At 41.8% G+C, this 20,271-nt stretch overlaps 1 protein-coding gene and 1 long non-coding RNA gene across 4 annotated transcripts in view, besides 3 other annotated features; one reads left to right on the top strand and one right to left on the bottom strand.

Moving 5' to 3' along the window:
* The window catches only part of RHOQ (ras homolog family member Q), a 42,199-nt gene that overhangs the window by 17,532 nt on the left and 4,396 nt on the right, over positions 1-20,271 (top strand). For 2 of the 3 annotated variants that reach the window (XM_011532726.3, NM_012249.4), the window contains exons 3-4: positions 16,066-16,230; positions 16,540-16,635. The exons of the other annotated variant lie outside the window; for it this stretch is intronic. In XM_011532726.3, the coding sequence (XP_011531028.1) occupies positions 16,066-16,230; positions 16,540-16,635 (261 nt within the window). The remainder of the gene's footprint in view (positions 1-16,065; positions 16,231-16,539; positions 16,636-20,271) is intronic. 3 annotated transcript variants of the gene reach the window in all.
* Positions 3,133-3,192: an enhancer, noted in NCBI's record as "active region_15712". NCBI's record gives its function as "activates an Ori minimal core promoter by ATAC-STARR-seq in GM12878 lymphoblastoid cells {active_cell/tissue: GM12878}" and the evidence as "EXISTENCE:reporter gene assay evidence [ECO:0000049][PMID:35858748]".
* Positions 5,170-5,259: an enhancer, noted in NCBI's record as "active region_15713". NCBI's record gives its function as "activates an Ori minimal core promoter by ATAC-STARR-seq in GM12878 lymphoblastoid cells {active_cell/tissue: GM12878}" and the evidence as "EXISTENCE:reporter gene assay evidence [ECO:0000049][PMID:35858748]".
* Positions 8,235-20,217, bottom strand: RHOQ-AS1 (RHOQ antisense RNA 1). The gene is made up of 2 exons (NR_104182.1): positions 20,014-20,217; positions 8,235-9,549 (listed from the first exon to the last, which is right to left on the bottom strand). It is a non-coding gene; the product is annotated as an RHOQ antisense RNA 1 (long non-coding RNA).
* Positions 10,640-10,739: an enhancer, noted in NCBI's record as "active region_15714". NCBI's record gives its function as "activates an Ori minimal core promoter by ATAC-STARR-seq in GM12878 lymphoblastoid cells {active_cell/tissue: GM12878}" and the evidence as "EXISTENCE:reporter gene assay evidence [ECO:0000049][PMID:35858748]".

The following is a 20,271-nucleotide window of genomic DNA, read 5'->3' on the forward strand; positions in this document are numbered from 1 at the left end:
AGCATTTATCATGATAGGGAAGGGGAAAAGGTATTAAAAAGCAAACTCGTTCCACCCTCTTGCTTGTGGCTCCGCGTTCAGTCCAGCTGCAGAAGCAGGCGCTCTTCTGGTTCCCATAGCTTCAGACCCTCAGGGAGGTCTGCTGTGCAGTCCGGTGTTTAACTGGCACCTCATTGCTCGCTCCGAATTTGGCTCCGTGGGCCTGTTAAGTAAGTTCCACTTGTTTTTTTGCCTTTTAGCTTCTAAATTTTGTTATTGTTATTTCTTTTCCTATTTCTTTTGTCCTTGTGGCTTTATGTTTTTTAAAACAATTACTGTACATGTTAGAGGATTTTGGAGAGGTCAAAGATAAATGCATACGTTCAGTTGGCTGGGACTTAACTGAAGTCTTCTCTTTTTTTATAGTTAGAAACATAAATATGAAGAACAAAGTTATAGTGGTGGATATTCTGTTCAGGGCCAGGCTCCTGATGAATTAATAAAGAAGTTGCTTGGCATACAGGCTTTGCAGCAAAGCGAGTTGGATTTCTGGGAGGAGATTTCTGTTTCATCTGGATCCTGGGGTCACGTGATCACGTTTTCCTTCCATACGAGAGCATGGGTTTCCAGTGGCCAGGATCTGTTGTGTCCACTAGCTCCAGCATCCGCTGTCTTACTGTTGGACAGAGGTAGATAGTCACTAATATTCTCATTATGCAATTTCTACTTTGCTAGACTTTGCGTAGAGTCTGTATAGACCATGACTTTTCAGTTAACATATTTTTCAGATAGGCCAAAACATACTCCATTAGGTTATAGCTTTCTTTAGTTACATTGCAGTCACCTTGATTAGATTTGGGTGTTTTGAAGTGTCTCAGTCATCTGAATATAAACCGTATTACAGATGACTAATAACAATTACAAATTGATTTTCATTAACTTAATTTTCAAAATGTAGCCCTATCTCAAATGCATAGAGTGTCCTACTATAGACCCCATAAACACACACACACACACACACACACACACACACACACACACAAAACCTGTATATAGACATATATCTCTCTAATATATTAGTATATATATGTATATACAGGTATGTGTGTGTGCGCACGTTTATATGTCTGTGTGTGTGTGTATATATATATACACCTTTGATATATATGTGTGTGTATATATATATGTGTATATATGTACATATGTATATATACCTTTGATACAGGTATCAAAGACATTGGCCAGGCAGGAAGAGTACGGTGAGGGGAGGGTCTGGACAGTTTTCCTAAGTGAGTAGCTGGTATGTGTGTATGGTTTGGGGTGGCAAGGGGGCCCAGGCAAGACAGAGTATTCCAGGCCAAGAAAAGAGCACAGAAAGAGTCATGTGGGAGAAGCTGGGGTGGATGGGGAGGTGTGGGAGCAGCCTATGTTCATTTTGGCTACAGAGTAGTCGTTCATCGGAGAAGCCATTAAATCTAAGGTGGGAAGAGGAGTTTGATGACTGCATGGCCAACCTTGAACTCTGAGCTACATAGTTTGGACTTCTAAAGGGCACGGTCTTCTGAAGATGGGTGCCTTGATGGAGAGATTAACAGAGAACATCCAGTAATACCTATTTTTCCATGTAGCCTTTTCTGTTTGTCAAGGGCAGATGTATTCTCTCCACTCTGAATCCCTGTGGCACTTAGCATCAATGGCTCTTGGCTCTTGTATTCATCTGTGCCTACATTTGAGGCTTCCTTGGACCCGTTTATCCCATTTAGCCCTAACAATGACATTAAGAGGTAGGTCATACTGTCTACCCCTCCCTCTGCACCGCATTTTTTTAGTGGATGAGGAAATAGGGTCAGAGATAGGGAAATGACTTGAACAAGATTACATACATGGCCAGTGAGAGGCCACCCTGGACCTCGGGCCAGGCCCTCTGACTCCAGATCTGCATTCCACTGTTCTCATGACATCCCCTTGCTGCCAGTGTCTCACTGGTTGCTTAACTAAGCCAGTGGCTCTTTGAAGGGAGACTCACACGATTTGATTTTCCAGGCAGCACATAACACAGGCCCAAACGATGGAGCACAGGCTCTGACAAGACTCACTTATCGGCAGCACAGGGTGGGGATGAGAACAGGGACCTAGCCGGTTCCTATGCAATTTCACCAGACTGTAGGGTCTATACCTCTAAGTTTGAAACTCCCTCATCCCCACTGCTGCCAGCCCAACTGCTCCAGTGATAGTTTTCCACCACTTCACCGAGAGCCTGGGCTCAGCTGCTGCCCTCACTGCCCTGGAGAAAGAGAGGAATGACACCACCTGTCCCGTTGCTGACTCTAAGGCTTTTATGAGAATACACAAAAGAGAATAGATACTTGAAACCACTGGAATGACAGTTTATCTGGTGATTTTCTTATAAAGTTCTATTGTTACTAGTTTCCTCCTCTATCTGTACTGTTGCTTCTCTTTGATTTTGTCTCACTGGCTCTTGCTTTGCTTCAGAAATGGCACTCCTCCCTAGCCAGGTCCTTTAGAGTAGGAAATCAAGAAGTTGAGCTGCTAGATTGTCTGAACTTCTTGGAACACAGAGGATGCTAGTGTAGACATGTGTGCATTATTGTACAGGGAGCCACTGAAACCTGCCTGCTGTGTGCAAAGTGGGCCGAGAGGACTCCGTGGCCACATCAAAGCCCATGTGCATTTGACTCTTTTCCCTTCCCAGCCTTTGATTTTTTTTGAAAAACGTATTTGAGATATATCAGTTTAGCTATTTTCTCAGTATTTTAATAAAATACCTGACTTTAGTCCTTGCCTGCCATGTAAACCTACACACTTATTTAAACCAGCAAAATTTCTCAGTGCGTTTGTGCTGAAGTTAATTTCACATTCAGTTCTCATTTTCTGCCTATTTATTACTCTGCCCCAAATCTGCTGAAACTGAATGGAAAAGGAACACTATTCGGTGGACATGGTTATAAATTAGCAGCCAGCACATGTGTTAAGTGCCTTTCATACCTTAGCTCATTTCTTTTCCCAGTGTTTAAGAGGAGGCTCCATTAGTAGTCCATTTTATAAATAAAAGAAACAGAAAAGGTAAGTAACTTGTGCCCAGGGCCACACAGCTAGGAAGCCTGACTCAGAGACTCAGGAGGTCTGTGTCTGAAACCCCATGATAGACTACCTGGTTGAAACAAAGAGGGGTTGTGTGGGAGAGGGTCCTACACTCGTGGTTAGGAGAATTGCATTCCTGCTTCACTCCTACCCACCTCTCCGTGTGACTCTGGACAGGTGGTGAGCTTCTTTGATCCTATTTCCTCATCAGTGAGGTGGCAGCTGACCTATCTCCTAGGCTGATGGTGAAGAGTCAGTGGGTAGCCTGGGTTGCTGTGAAGGCATGAGCAGGCACTCTTCTGGGCTGTAAAGTTACATAGGCTGTAGTAATGTCATGAGGCTATTTGTTTTGTGATAGGCCGGGAAGAGCCCCCACGGGGAACCGTCTGTAGTATAAAAGGGCCAGAGCTGGTGGGAAGAAGATAAAGGGAAGTAATACAGAATAGGCAGGGGAGGGGAGGGCATCAAACCCGTGCAAGGAGGATAAGCTGTGCTCAGTGGTGATGGATGCATATTGTGAAGAATTGATGTCAACACATCAACTCTTGGCCTCCAGGGACTTCTTGCAGGGTAATTCTGCAAGAATTTTCTGAATTTTCAAAGAAATCTAGGTGAGTGTGCATGTGTGCATACACACGCATGTGTGTCTGGGTACCTGTAAGGCAAGATCATACCTTTGCACACTTGTGGACCTGTGTGTATTTCTTTCCTCTTTTTTTCTCTTTTTCTTAATGGAGACAGGGTCTCCCTATGTTGCCCAGGCTGGTCTCAAACTGGGCTCAAGGGATCCTCCTGCCTTGGCTTCCCAAAGTGCTAGGATTATAGGCGTGGGCCACCACGCCCAGCCCCTGTGTGTATTTTTTTTAAATTGAGGTGAAATTTACACGACATAAATTTAACCATTTTTAAGTATATAATCAGGCTGGATGCAGTAGCTCATGCCTATAATCCTAGCACTTTGGGAGGCCAAGGCAGGAGGATTGCTTGAGCTCAGGAGTTCAAGACCAGCCTAGGCAACACAGTGAGACCCCCATCTCTACAAAAAATAAAAAATTGGCCAGATGTGGTAGCACGTACCTGTAGTCCCAGCTACTTGGAAGACTGAGGCAGGAAGATTGCTTAAGCCCAGGAGTTTGACTCTGTATTGAGCCACGATCGCACCACTGCACACCAGCCTGGGTGACAGAATGAGATCCTGTCTCCTGTCTCTAAAAGAAAAATTAAAAAATAAAGTATACAATCCAGTGGCATTTAGTACATTCACTGTGTTGTACAACCACCAGCTCTGCCAGTTCCAAAACATTTTCATCTCCTCCTCAGAAATTGTGTGTGTTTTTGAAAGGGCCTGTTCTGTGCAAGCATGTCTGTGAGGGCATCCTGATTTCGCCTGCCGGGAAGCCATCCTCGTCCTCAGATGGCAGATTGCACTGTATGCGTTTATTTGGCCAGCAGAGTGGGGCTCAAGTATTCACATTCCACATGGGTTTGTTGGTCATGGCTTAACTCCTCTGTGCACTCTGGCTGCCTCATCTGGACATAGAGGAAGGCAGCACTGCAGCCTTCATCTGAGTGTAGTTACCAGGGTCTTCTCTTTGCTGCTTGGCTGCGTGTTGCCTTTGTCTATTAAAAGGATGTGTGTAAGTATGTATGTCAACTGGGGACTTCAGCCTCTGTAGGCCAAGTGTTGAAAAGGGTGAGAGGGCTGCTCTGGTAGAAGTGTCAGAGCTGGGATGTCTGTACACCTCCCTCTCCATAGCTAGTCCTGGAGATAAGTAAGAGCAGATTCTGGGACTGAGCTGTCGCATACACCCTGGTGGTGATAACAGCAAACACAGCAATGGGCTATGTAGAGGGAGCCCTGAATAATCTCCATGAGCTGCAGAGATAGGGCCAGTGAGTGGCAAATCCTTTTATAGTGTGGAGGAGAGGAGGTGGGGAGCAGCTGCAGGAGAAGGTGGGGAGCAGCTGCAGAAGGAGAAGGTGGAGCAGGAGCTACGTTGGACAAGCCAGTGAATACTTTGCTCTGATTGGACAACCCAGATCATGTGCCCACCAAAAACCAGCGACTTAGTGGGAGGGGCAGGAGTGGGGAATGAAACTCAATGATTGGCTTAATCCAACCAGGGACTCTCTATATAGCTAAGTATGGGGCCAGGGTCCCCAGGGGCATGTGTCTGAGTGTAGAAGGGGTGGTGGGTCCTGCACTGAATCAGAGTTTTCGAAAGAAGGAGGAAGTAGGAGAAGAATGCTGGATAGACAGTCAACTGTATTCTCCATACCTAGATAAGACAAATGTCAAGACAATGCAGAAAAAGTTGTGGTGAAAAGCAGCAGGAACTAAAATGCTTAAAGCATCACTCAGTCTGAGGCTCTCCTATTAAGAGCTCACATTCAGGGAGGTGGGTTGGACCCATTGGTGTGCCACAGAAAAATGGCCCTGCTCACAGGAGGCAATTTGACATCTGGCCGAAAGTGACATCAGCAGCCTGAGAAATTAACCTGTTACTGGAGAGAATTCAGGTATTTGATCCACTTTCTCAAGCTTTGTAGCTGGTGAAGGAGGTGCAGCTAGCACTGTGCAAGCTACCTGCACAATGACTGCAGCTGACTTTTCTCACTTCACCTTCCCATGAGCTACCGTCATTGATTCAGCGGGAATGTAATAAGCTGCGACCATGAGCCAGGCCTTGAGCAATAGTCCCCTGCCCTCAGGGAGTCCTGATGCAGAAGGGGAAGATGCAGATCAGAAGAGGCAATCGTATTACAGTATAAACAAACAGGATGACAGGAGAAGCTTGTGGTGCCACAGAAGTGTGGAGCATGGCAATGCTTAAGCTGAACTGGGGGTTCAGAGAAGATCTGCTGGATGAAGTGATTTCCAGACTCAAGCCTGGAAGATGAGTAGGAGCTCCCAGGTGAAGAAATACGGAGAGAGAGAAGAAACAGGGAAACTCACTGGGCAGGTGACTGCTTTAGTGTGTGTATTTGTGTTAGGGGTTGATCCTGAGAACTTTCAGGTTTCTGGCTTGTGCACCCTGATTGAGTGGTGATATCTTCTAGTGAGATGGTGAATACAGGAGGAGTTGCAGTTTTGATTGGGAAGAAATGAATTTAGTTCAGAAATGTTGAATTTGAGATGCTTCTGGTTCAGCTAAAAGGAGGTACATAGTAATAAGCTAGTTCTGGAACTCAGAGGCAGAGACCTCCTCTGACCACCTGCTTGACATCTCAAGCTTAACACGTCCCAAACTGTCCTCTTGAGTTCTCTCCCTATGGTGCTTCTCTACCCTACCCTCAGTTTTCTTCATCCCTCTAAAAGATGCCATATCATCTAGATATATCCAGAATATATCTAGAATCCACCATTTCTCTAGCTGTCAACTGCTGTCCCTTAGTCTAAGCTTCCATCTTCTCTCAGCTGAATTACTATAATAACCTCTCCCCTTATAAGCCTGACTGCCTAATTCATTCTTCTCAAAGTAGCCTGGATTATCGTTTTCAAATTTTGTGACTTTTTTGCGGGGGTCGGGGGCTCACCTTTTAATGACTTTCCATTGCAGGTGGGCCCTGCAGAGGGGTCCAAGCTGACTCCCTCTCCAGCCCCACCTGTCACCTGGCCTTTCCCTGTGGTCTTCAGTATGTCAGGGCTTTTCTGCCTTGGGACGTTTGCATACATTGTCTTGTTGTCTGTCTCCTTAAGCGGTCCCTCAGGTCTCAGGTTGAACATCACCCCTGCAGAGAGGTCTTTCTTGCCTGCGCAGACTGAAACTCATCTTCCTGGTTATTCTCTCTCCCAGAACCTGGCTCTTTTCCTTCATAGCACCTGTCCCAATTTGCATTTATAGTCATTTTTGTCCCAATTTGTTCAATGCCTGATTTGATACCTCAATTTTATCAGACCCATCTCCCATTTTTATAACAAATACTTCCTTTTTACTTATCCTCAAATGAAATCTATAGATAATATAACCTCCCTATACATGTAATTTTAAATCAGTATAACATCCTGGCAGTGATATAAAGGAGAAATAAAAAGGAAAGTAATTCATCATAAAACTATTTATTTCAGTGTTAAATTCCTAAACTCCCAAGGCTGACTACTCCAGAAATCATAATGAAGTAATCAGGCCTGCACCTATTAGGTAAAATGACCACGAATGCAACAGTTACAAATATTGGCTAACATAGTTATTTTTTATTAGTGACTCAGATACTAACAGCAATGTAGCCAGTGGCATGTGGTTTTCTGTGATGGTAAGTAAATCCTGTGATGTTTGTTTTTTCTTTTTCTTCTTTTTTTTTTTTCTTTGAGACAGGGTGTCGTTCTGTCACCCAGGCTGGAGTGCAGTGGCATGATCTCAGCTCACTGCAGCCTCAATCTCCCAGGCTCAAGTGATCTTCCCACCTCAGCCTGCCAAGTAGCTGGGACTATAGGCACACACCATCACACCTGGCTCATTTTTTATTTTTGTAGAGATCGTGTTTTGCCATGTTGCCCACACTGGTCTTGAACTCCTGGACTCAAGCAATCCACCTGTCTCAGCCTCGCAGAGTGCTGTGATTACAGGCATAAGCCACTGCACCCAGCCTCCTGTGATGTTTCAAACAAAATAAAGTTCAATCTTTCTCCTTCAATGTGGACTGAAATTACCTTCCTAGAAAATTCATTAAAGTCTGAGGGCCGTGGCTCATGCCTATAATCCCAACATTTTAGGGGGCTGAGGCAGGATAATTGCTTGAGCCCAGGAGTTCGATACTAGCCCAGGCAACAGAGCAAGACCCCTGTCTCTACAAAAAAAAAATAAAATAAAAAAATTTCTGACTAGCTGGGCATGGTGGCATATGCCCGTAGTATCAACTACTCGGGAGGCTGAGGTGGAGGCTAGAGCCCAGGAGGTCAAGGCTGTAGCAATCTGTGATCATGCTACTGCACTCCAGCCTGGGTGACGGAGTAAAACCCTGCTCAAAAAAGAAAAAGTTTAAAATATGCACTAAAGTTATGCCAAAAAACTTTATTTTTTTATATATGCAGCAGGATCAGGTCCTAGATTCATGCGATTATAAAAGGTGTTCCATGGTGAGCAGGTCTATGCAAACCTACCTTCAAAGGCCAAGGGAGCTGAGAGGCTGAAGAAAGAGACTGACAAATCCAGTTTCTCAGAAAGAAATATTTAATAGAGACTTAGAAACAGAAACGATGTCTAGGTAGGCCAAGAGATGGTGGATTCTCACAACCAACCTCCAGAAAGTATCCTTTATATAGCAAGCTTTTAGGGTAAAGACACAGGAAGCTCATCATCCCTGACTTCCTTTAGAAACTCATGACCACGGGGAGGTTGTGAGGGCTTATCTGTGCTACTGGACCACCTTGAATTGTAGGCGTCAAACATTGGTCATCATGGCAGTTTTACTTCAAGATGGATCACTCTTGCTATGCAACAGGCTGTTTTCCCACAAAAGAGTTTTTCATGTTTATGAATGTCTAGCAGTACACTCACTAGTCATGCGGGCCTGGAGCTGGTTTTCCTCATACAGGTCATTGTGGCACCACGGCTCCCACCCTTAAATGCTAGCAGAGTTTCCCCATTCATTTTGGCAATTGACAGCACCTCCCAAATGTCCGAAATGCCCCCCAGACATAGGGTGGTACTGCCCTAGCTGAGAGCCCTGTGCCTACTCCTCTGCTGTCCTCTACACAGAATGAGGGCAGGGTCTGTGTTGTGTTCACTCGTCTATACACAGCACTCAGCACCTACTTGCCAGATATTTGTGGAGTGAATGAATGTTCTATCAACATGAAATTTGTGCCAAAAAGTTAGGAAAGGAGTATACCACATGGAAATGTGACCAGACATTTACCTTCTTTCAGCATGCTTTAGGCCAGCTGACCTCTGTTTTAGTGCAAGAGACTTGTAATTATAGCTCCAGACAATATGGAATTTCAGCTCTAAATCCTTTACAACTGGGGAAGTCACCTCACCATGCACAGAAGAAATAGCACTGGCTCCGAAGTTGTGGTTTGTCTTTTTTTGGAAAGTCAGGCTTGTCTGCCAAAGAGCTCGAAACACTTGACCAGCTCTCTCATTTATCTTAACATGTGTATTTATTCTCCCTTCACAGATGGGGAAGTGAAGCTTGCCTGAGGGCTGTATTTAGCTAAGTCTTGATCCTCTGCCTTGTGGTGGTCAGCTTAGATAAAATGGAATCCTAAAACTTGATTTTTATCCCGTAGTGTGAACCTCCTCCCACATTAAATCTGCTAGTAGGGCTGCTCACAAGGGTAAGAAGTGTTAGTTTGAGTGTTTTTCATCATGTGACGTGGCGGTCTTCTAGTTCAGGGCCCTGCTTTTAGAGATGAGGAAGTGCCAGTTCGTCACAACACAGTTAGATAATGACAAGGCCAGTCCTCTAGCTGGTTTCTTTATGCTCCACCAGATGTAAATTTTCTCTCCGTTTCCTCCAGCCAACCTAAACAGGAGTTACAATCAGTCAGGTGGCCAAAAGGAAAGCACAATGGAAAAGAAGCCCAAGATCTAGTTCTCTAGCTCCTAAATAATTGGTATATTAATTAGGAGGCTGACTTATTATAAATCAAAACATATGAAGATGACAGTAGCTAAAAGTAAGAAGCTAAACCTTTAATTTCAAGAATTCTTTTACTAAGCGCTAATCAGGCCAGTGACATATAAATACCATTTCACAACTGAACTGAAAATTAAAAAAGAAAAGAAAACACCAGATGTTTGCAAAGTTTTTGAAAAACAGTGACCTCTTAAGAATTTATAGCACCTAAAAAAACCTTTCTCTTCCCCAAAATTTTCTTTAGTCCAAGAGTGCTGGGAGGTAGTAGGAAGTGGTAGGCAAATTCAGTAAACTCATCACTGGTGAGTTTTGAACCAAACTTACCAAAGTGTTTTCAAAAAGGACCCAACCCAGCTTCCTTGAAAAACAGAGTTATTTTTAAAGAGGTAAAAACTGATATTTTCATTTCACAAAGTTAAATATAAAATGAACTCAAAAGTGTCAAAATGACTGCACAATAGAAATGAGGTTTCAGGCCAGGCGTGGTGGCTCATGCCTGTAATCCCAGCACTTTGGGAGGCCAAGGGAGGCGGATCACAGGGTCAAGAGATTGAGACCCTCCTGGCTAACACGGTGAACACCCGTTTCTACTAAAAATACAAAAAATTAGCCAGCCATGGTGGCAGGCACCTGTAATCCCAGCTACTCAGGAGGCAGAGGCATGAGAATTGCTTGAATCCGGGAGGCAGAGGTGGCAGTGAGCCGAGATTGTGCTATTGCACTCTAGTCTGGGCTATAAGAGTGAGACTTCATCTCAAAAAATAAAAAAAAAAAAAGAAATGAGGTTTCATAGGCTACTCTGACCAAGCATTACCATAGACATGTTGTGATATATAAGTTAGATGTAGGAGAAAACAGTTGCATTCTCAGAAGCTGGCTTCATGACATGTGTCCTCTGGACTTCTGTGTAGCACCCTTTGAAGGGTGGAGGGTTTCAAGAGCTCGATGCCTGTTTTGGACTTCTCGCTAGAAACAGATGTTGTAGATGAAGATTACTACTGTGTGCCTTGGAAGTGACACAGAGAATTGCTACTGCACAGACCACAAAGCCACCACTTTTCAGGGATATTCTTACTTAGTTGTCATATGTTTTATGTCTCTCTTCACGTAGTCAGAAGCTGCTTTAGATTTGGGAAGGCTGGGGCTTATCTGTTACCCCTTGTTCTAGGTTGTTTCTCATTCTAGGTTGTTACAGAGGAAAACTCTAGTAGGTTTTGATAAATGACTATTTCTTACATCAAAGTACTATCCTGCATTATTTGGGATTGTAATACATTCCTATAGTACTTTATGGTCTTCAAAGCATTTGTCACTGATAAGTCTCCCGTTTTTCAGACAGAGAAACTAAGGCCCTAAGGAATAAGGGACTGGACTAAAGTCGCATTCCTAGCATGTTGGATACGTTCAAGTTCTCTCCATTCTGTAAGGACCAACTCAAGTGCCTCTTCCAAGAGGTCTTTTCTTAGTGTCCCCTCATTACTACTTTTTATATTTACCACATTCTAACTTGTAATATCATGTTCACATACATCTTATCTACCTTACCATGAACTTCCTAAGATCGAAAGCTGTTATGCATTTGTGTGTATCTCCTCACCTATCAGAATTGTTCTTCTTGGGTGCTAACCTGATGCACGTTCCCACACCAGCCTGCAGTTTCCTCTTCTAGGCTGTGGCTTGGAGGTCTGCAAGGCGCTGGAGTGGTGTCCAGGCACATTGTGGGCACTGCTGCACATTCAAGTGCATTGCCTTATTTTTAACATATAGATACTTAATGAGAGAGCTTTGTAAATGTTTATAAGGTGTTTTACAAATAGATGTTATTTGAATCTCATCCTTCCCTCCTTTATTTATTGCAGTTAGCACTGTTCTGGGCACATAGTAGGTGCTTAGTAATGTTTGTTAAGCATTTCTATATTCACTTGCTCCAGCTTACACTTTTATTCCCTCCTATTGTTGTATATGACTGTCTTTTTATATGTTTATATCTTGAATTCCCAACTAAACTGCAAGCTCCAGAGGGCTATAGTCTCAATAAATCTTTGCTGATTGCTTTTAAATAATACATGATAGCATACCAGCTAACAAAGCATGGCACAAGGTAAATCGTCCAATGTGAGTGTTTTTATTTAAGAAATGTTTTGGATATGTATTTTAAAATAGACATACACATCCCAAAAACATATATTTTAAACAGAGATCACTAAGGTAGGAGGGAACACCCAGGTCCACATGAAGGGGACAAAGAATAGTGCAGAAGTAAGGCTCATGGGCACTGCTGGCTGAGCTGCACACAGAAAGGGGTCTCCAGCTGATGGCCATTGGCTACATTTCTCTGTGGCATTGGAAGAGCTTTTGTTTCCTCTCAGAGCGCATTTCTTTAGTTTTTTGTTTGCAGATTCTTATCAGGTGGTAAGTGTGTGTTTTTTTTTTTTTTTTTTTTTTTTTTTGAGACAGGGTCTCACTCTGTCACCCAGGCATGTTCATGGCTCACTGCAGGCCCAACCTCTTGAGCTCAACTGATCCACCCACCTGAGCCTCCTGAGTAGCTGGGACTGCAGGCATGTGCCACCATGCCCAGCTAATTTTTGTATTTTTAGTAGAGACAGGATTTCACCACATTGGGAAGACTGGTCTTGAACTCCTGGACTCAAGCAATCTCCCCACCTCGGCCTCCCAAAGTGCTGGGATTACAGGTGTGAGCCACCGCACCTGGCCATGTGTGATATTTTTAAAGTAAGGTTGTCATTATCACATATCGAGGACTCTTCAACAAGGGACAGCCTGAACACTAAGCTGCCAGAACACACTTAAAAACTTGATACTTCTGGTACTTAGCCAATTGGTAAGAAGCTAAAGAGTCTGCCATGCAGTCCAACAGCCATGCTGACTAAACTCACCAGTTCTTTCATTGTTTTGATGTTGAACAGCTGTCTTTAATACACTTTTCTGTACTCCTGAGAATGTTCTAGTTACCATGCTGAAATGTTTAAATACCTACATTTTAAAATTAGAACTAAAATATAATGGGTTTGTTAATTAGGAGGACACTGGAGAGTTGGCTGTGAGAAGTTGTGACTTTGATAAGTCGATCTTTTAAAAGTAAGGGCAGTTGCTCTACATTTGACTTCTTTGTGTTCTCAAATTTAAAATATATGGCTGAAGATGAAAGATTCTGCACACCTCCACTTATTCATTCCCAAATCCCACATTTCATATTAAATTCACACAGGATACTATGTGATGCATATGAACCATTTTATATGATGCAGGGTACAGTATGCACAGGGGATAATTTATTTTCTAAATTTGCTATTATTAGACTTCTAATTACTCAGCTGGATAGAAGCAGAAAGGTCTCATTCTTGTACTAACTGCCGATTTTTTTTTTTTTTTTGAGACGGAGTTTAGCTCTGTTGCCCAGGCTGTAGTGCAGTGGTACAATCTCTGCTCACTGCAGCCTCCACCTCCTGGGTTCAAGTGATTCTCCTGCCTCAGCCTTCCGAATAGCTGGGATTACAGGTGTGCACCACCACGGCCAGATAATTTTTGTATTTTTAGTAGAGATGGTGTTTCACCACATTGGCCAGGCTGATCTTGGACTCCTGACCTCAAGAGTCCCACCTCGGCCTCCCAAAGTGCTGGGATTACAGGTGTGGGCCATCATGCCCGGCCACTAACTGCCAATTATTTAGCCAGAGATGACAGGCAGAAGGAATTCATTTTAGATTGTTCAGACTTAAGAAGTAACATTTCTTTCCAAGGAGGTCTAAACATATGTGTGTTTTATTTTTTAATAGCCCCAGTTCTTCACATTTTAATTAATCAAACAAAACCTGCAATTTAAGAAATATCTAGAAATGATTGGTCCAATTGTCCTCCTTTGTGCTCACGTCTCTCATGGAGGAAAGTCAGGATTCACTGTGGTTATGAAAGGAATCTGTACAATATATTTACCTTCTGTAAAATACTTGGATTAATATTGTTAAGCATCTCTAGGGAACATGGCATTCAATTAGTTTTTATTTCTTGTCATCTCTCACTAGAGAAAGAGCGCACACTTCTGTTTCCCTGAGGAGGTAAACTTGCTTGAAAAGTAAAATTTCCATTAAAATCTCTAATTTGGCTTTCTTAAATATAAATCTATTTTTGTTACATTTTAAATAGTCTTAAGGCTAAGTGACTAATGAGTACAGTAATAATATATCATTCTCTTTTATTCATCTGAAAATTATACTGTCTCGAGAGACCTGAGTTTTGTGTGTTTTGATTTTATTTCTTACTAAAAGACTTCTCTGTGATTGGAGGGAGCTGCAAAGCTGAGGCAAGTGTGGGACTCAGGGGACCCTGCGTGGATTTGCAGAGGAATAAGAGACTTGGTTTCCCATGGGATAGAGAATTTATGTTTAAGCATTGAAAGAGTTCTTCGATGTGCGAGGTGTTATGCGGAGTGCTTTAGTTGCACTATTTCATTTATTCCTCATAATCCTAAGGGATAGTATCCCCATTCCTATTTCTGTGAAAATTGGAAATCTAAATATGGATGAGGAGTGCTTTTTAATGAGAACACCCCATTTCCCGGCCATGACAACTGCATGTTTGCTCAGAAGTGTGGAGTTGCTGGGTGGGATGCTAAGATGACATACTGTTTCTTTTTTTTTTTTTTCTTTTATGGACTTGCAGTTTGAAACAGGCAGTAGAGCCCAGAAAGTACATATAAGGCACTCAATTGTACTGTTTAACACAAGCTGATTTTTAAAAAGTTAAATTTTCAAGAAGTCTTCCTCTAGTAACTGTCTGGGGGTATAACGTGTTTCATACCCACCCTATTTGATCTCTTCATTGTGAATTTCTTAACACCAGGGCACTGCTTTAATCAAAACCATTTAGAGGCGTTCACTTTAAAAAATAAAAGTTGCAGAAGATTGGGGGTGGCATTTCCCCTGTCGTCATGTGATAGCGAACACCTGAGAAATCTTTTAATGCCCACAGCTCTAGATTATAGGTGTGCCCTTCAAAAGCATCACAGAAAAACAAAAGGGTTACCCACCAGTCAAGGGTTTGGGACATTAACATGCTTTAGTTGAAAGTTATATTATGAAAAATGTCAGAAAAATGCATGAAAGGAAAATTGTTCCATGAGGGAAATACTACTGCTGAAACTCCAAGTGGAAGATGATGTTTTTAATATTCCCTTAGTTCCACATTTGTGTAGTTCTGTAGTGAAACGAGTCATTTAAGAGGGGAGGTGGCCCAGGCTAAAAATAAAGTTTCTTTGAAACCAGATGAGAGTCTAGCTATGCCAAAAATGGAATCCGGACTCTGTTCACTCTCGAGAATGTAAATAAGTAGAATTTTGTGTCACATAAAATAGTCTATGCAAAAAAGGATATTCACTGCCTTTTGTGATAGAGACTAAAATAACCATCAGGAGTATAGCTGTTCTGGGGACTCTGAAGCAACAGTGTAAAATGATATGGTAGTCTAACGTATTCTGATTTAGAAAGATGTCCAAGACAAAGAAAGTGCAGAACAACAAGTACTGCATGATTTCATTTTATGTACAGATGTATGAATATGTGCAGTTACTGGTATATTCATGCATAGAAAAAGAACTGGAAGAATAAACATGAAAATATTAAGTAGAGGGAATGAAAGTTGGAGAGTAAAGGAGGATTTTGGTGGGTTTACTGTGTATGTTTCTCTTTAAATCTTCACACACACACACACACACACACACACACACACACACACACACAATTAATAAAACTATAGAAACAAGGAAAGCAAAGCTTGAAGGTCTCAGTGAAGCTGTATAGTGGTTAAGAGTATAGACTCTGGAGTAAAAACTGCCAGGATTTGAATCTCAGCTCCTTGACTTACTGGCTACACATCCTTACGCAAGTAATTTAACTTCTGTGCTTCAGTTTACTCAAATGAAAGTCAGGATTAAGGGTACTTGTGTCATATTGTTGTTACAAGGATTAAATAAGTAATCCATGAGAGAGCATATAGACTAGTGCCTGACACATAGTAAATATTTAGCATGTATTAATTATTATAAATTATAATACTTAGGCAATGTCTAGCTATATTCAATTCTTTGTGCAAACTTTTTAGTTAAAAATGTTTTTAGTGACAGCGTTAGTGATCATAATGTATTTTTCCAAAGTTTTCATTGTCATTGTTAATGATATTGTCATTTTTTTTTACCTCATGGGTGTTCAGAACTTCACAAAGAAGAATAACAAAAACAGAGTTATCTGATTTTACTTAGAGTGCCATACATTCCACTAGTGGAGTACTCCTGAATTTGCATCTTTGACCATGTAATCTAATGTACATATTACTAGTAAACAATAGAAATGTAAATACATAATGAGGCTTTTCTTTGTTCCTCAGGAAGACTATGACCGTCTGAGGCCTTTATCTTACCCAATGACCGATGTCTTCCTTATATGCTTCTCGGTGGTAAATCCAGCCTCATTTCAAAATGTGAAAGAGGAGTGGGTACCGGAACTTAAGGAATACGCACCAAATGTACCCTTTTTATTAATAGGAACTCAGGTATGTCTGGTTTGATTTTCTGCATTTTAGAATAAGCTCTTTGGTCTGTCGTAGAGGCTGCTCTCAGACAAACAGTCCCAAAGCTGAGCAAATGATGTAAGTGTTTAATCTCAGCTGCAAGTTAATGAGTTCTATCATATTTTTGGAAAAAATTGTGCCAAAAGAAAGCAATTATTTTCCTGGTTTTTAAAAATTAAGTTCTTTTGTTTAATCTTTTTTTGGTATGTGGGAATTAAGTGGGATTACATGCTTTGATTTTTCTTTAAAGATTTGTAATATTATGGGACATTATTGACCTTTCTTAATTAGATTGATCTCCGAGATGACCCCAAAACTTTAGCAAGACTGAATGATATGAAAGAAAAACCTATATGTGTGGAACAAGGACAGAAACTAGCAAAAGAGGTAATGGAACACTCACAGAATTTAAGCATGAATGTAAAAGATGCTAAGATAACAATAGAAGCTAATTTTATTGTGTATTTACTGTGTGCCAGGTGGAGTGCTTTACATGCATTATCTCATTTAATCCTTGCATGAACTCAGTGAGGTAGGTCTGTTTCCCCTGTTACACAGAAGAGACAGTGGAGGCTGGGAGATGTCAGATAATTCGCCCAAGATCCTGCAGGTAATAAATGGCAGAGTTGGGTTTCAGTCCAAAGCCTGACTCCTGGGCCGAGACTCTTACACCTTTGCTACATTGCCAGTGATATTTTCCTAAAAAGTCACATATGGAAAAAAGCATCGGAAACACGTGTCACTACTTTCAACCCTTCTTCATTACTTAAACAGTTGCACTGTGCCAAATCAGCTCTGTCTTAAGACTCATTGAGTTAGACAGTGGAGCCACCTAGGATGACAGTTTAAATTTGTGGTTAAAACCAAAAAATGATGACTAGGTTTGAAAAGAAATGTGTTGAAATTTCTCCAATCTTTTTATGAAAAGAGGATAGAAAATACAAAAATTCTAAAAATATATGTAACAGTGATGCATGCAATACCTTGTAGCTTATCTTCCTTCGTGCCCCAAAGATAGGTTTACTTTTTCCCCTTTTTTCCCATTTGGCCTTAACATTATTGGATTCTATTTTTTAAATGTTGTGATTTCAATAGGACTTTTGTGGAAACAGAATCCATATATGGTCTTTTTTTTTTTTTTTTTTTTTGAGACGGAGTCCCACTCTGTGGCCCAGGTTGGAGTGCAGTGACGGGATCTCAGCTCACTGCAAGCTCTGCCTCCCGTGTTCATGCCATTCTCCTGCCTCAGCCTCCCAAGTAGCTGGGACTACAGGTGCCTGCCACCACACCCGGCTATTTTTTTTTTTTTTTTTTTTTTTTCATTTTTAGTGGAGATGGGGTTTTACCATGTTAGCCAGGATGGTCTCGACCTCCTGGCCTCATGATCTGCCCACCTCATCCTCCCAAAGTGCTAGGATTACAGGCATGAGCCACCGCGCCCGGCCCATATATAGTCTTTTAAAATGTAGTATCAGGAGGCAAAAGAAAGCAAGAAAACTTTCTGGAGGACAGTTTTTCCTAAAGCAAAAAATAAATGGCTTTACTAACAAATCACTTCAGAAATTCCATGTATTCAGTTTTGTAATCTTGGGGAGAGAAGGAATTTCTAAATGTCATAAAGATAAAAGCCATAAATGAAAATATTAATGATTTCACTGCATAAAAACTTAATACCACATCAAATGCCAGAAATAAAATGAAAAGTCATATAACCTGAGATGGATGGCAGAAAAATGGGTTAACATCCTTAGTATACAGGAACCTCTTGCATATGAGTTAATCAGAAGCAGCCACAGATACCAATAGAAAAATGGGCTAACAATGAAAAATTCACCCCCCAAAATGCAGATTGCCATTGAAGATAGGAAATATGTTCAAACTTATTAGTAGTCAAATGTAAGCTCAATTTGCACCTATAGAATTGGCAAAAAATGAGAAATTAATTATAATACCCGTGTAGTAAAATGGACACTCTGTTGTACTATTGGTCATTGAATCAAAGCAGTCTTGACAGTATGCAAAATCCTTAAAATCATGGACACTTTTGATCAAGCAATTCCATATGTAAGAGTTTATCCTAAGCAAATCATTAGGATGTTGGTCAAAGTGTACAGTGTTAGGAGGAATACATTTTTTGAGATAACACTGCACAACATGGTAACTACAGTTAATAATGGTGGTGCTGGGCACGGTGGCTCACACCTGTAATCCCCGCACCTTGGAAGGCTGAGGTGGGTGGATCGTTTGAGCCCAGGAATTCGAGACCAGCCTGGGCAACATGGTGAAACCCCATCTCTACCAAAAAAAAAAAAAAAAAAAAAAAAAAAAAAAAAAAAATTAGCTGAGCATGATGGTGCATACCTGTAGTCCCAGCTACTTGGGGGGCTGAGGAAGGAGGATCACTTGAGCCCAGGAGGTGGAGGTTGCAGTGAGCCGAGATAGTGCCATTGCACTCCAGCCTGGATGACAGAGTGAGACCCTGTCTCAAAATAAATGAATAAATAAATAATGGTGGACTGCGTATTTCCAAATTGCTAAAAGAGTAAATTTTAAATGTTCTCACCACACAAAATGATAAGTATTTAAGGTGATAGATGTTAATTATGTTGATTTAATCATTTCACTCGTGTGTGTGTGTGTATATGTATATATAGAGAGAAAATATTGCTTTGTACCTTATATAAAATTATAATTTGTCCATTTATAATATTTAATAATAAAAGTAAATTATTAGGGACGTACTTAGAGCTACAAAGATGCTGAATTGTTTATAATGGCAAAAATTCCCTGCATCTATTAAAACTTCATACTATCTGTTAAGATTTCATATTTATTATGTAGCTAAAGGGAAAAAAGTAGTTGCAAAACAGTATGATCTCATTTCTAGACTCATCAGCATTTGGCACAGTTGCGTCCTTCCTGAAACTTTCTTCAGTTGGACTCTCTTGGTTTTTCTCCCCTCTCATTGGACTCTGCTCCATCTCTTTACCTCCTTGGTCCCTGGTTGGAGGGCCCCAGTGATGAGCACTCAGCTTTGTGGATGTCTTCTTCTATAGCTACACTCCCTAGGCCTAAATGAGCTTCTGTCAGTCTTGTAGCTTGCACAGTCTACAACCAAAGATTCCTGGATTTCCATCTCCAGCCTGGACCTCTTTCCTAAATTCTCAATTTGGTTATCCAGCTGTTTACTCAACAAGTCCATCTACATGGCTGAGTATCTCAAAATTAACATGTCTAAGATATGATTCTTCTTTTACCCTCCAAGCCTGTCCTCCCAGTTACTCAGGTCAGAAGCCCTCAGCTGGGTGCAGTGGCTCACACCTGTAATCCCAGCACTTTGGGAGCCCGAGGCGGGCAGAATTACCTGAGGTTGGGAGTTGGAGACCACCCTGACCAACATGGAGAAACCCCATCTCTACTAATACAAAATTAGCTGGGTGTGGTGGCACATGCCTGTAATCCCAGCTAGTCAGGAATCTGAGGCAGAACCGCTTGAACCCAGAAGGCAGAGGTTGTGATGAGCCAAGATCGAACCATAGTACTCCAGCCTGGGCAACAAGAGTGAAACTGTCTCAAAAAAAAAAAAAAGCCCTGAAGTCGTACTTGACCTTGCTCTTTCTCCCATACCACACATCTAGCCTTCGGCACAACATACCTTCAGAACATATCCAGAATCCAGACACTTTTTTCTAACTCTTCCCTCTATCACCTGGTTCAGACCTCCTCCATCTCTGGCCTGCTTTACTGGAATAGCTTCCAACTCACCTTTCTGCTTCTGTCTATGCCCCATGGTCATCTGTTCTCAACACAGCAGCCAGAGTAAGTCTTAAAAATGTAAGCGCAATCATGTCACTGCTCTGCTCAGAATCCTCCAGTGGGTCCCCAGCTCAGACTAAACGCCAAAGTCCGCACAGTGGCCTACAAGCCTCTGTTCCCTCTCTGCCTTACTCATTGTTCCCCAGGCCTCCTGGTCTCCTTTGTTGTTCCCTCAAAGTTCTACCTGAGAACCTTTGTACTTTTGTT

The sequence above is a fragment of the Homo sapiens genome, chromosome 2 (assembly GCF_000001405.40).
Source record: "Homo sapiens chromosome 2, GRCh38.p14 Primary Assembly".
NCBI classification, from domain to species: Eukaryota; Metazoa; Chordata; class Mammalia; order Primates; family Hominidae; genus Homo; species Homo sapiens.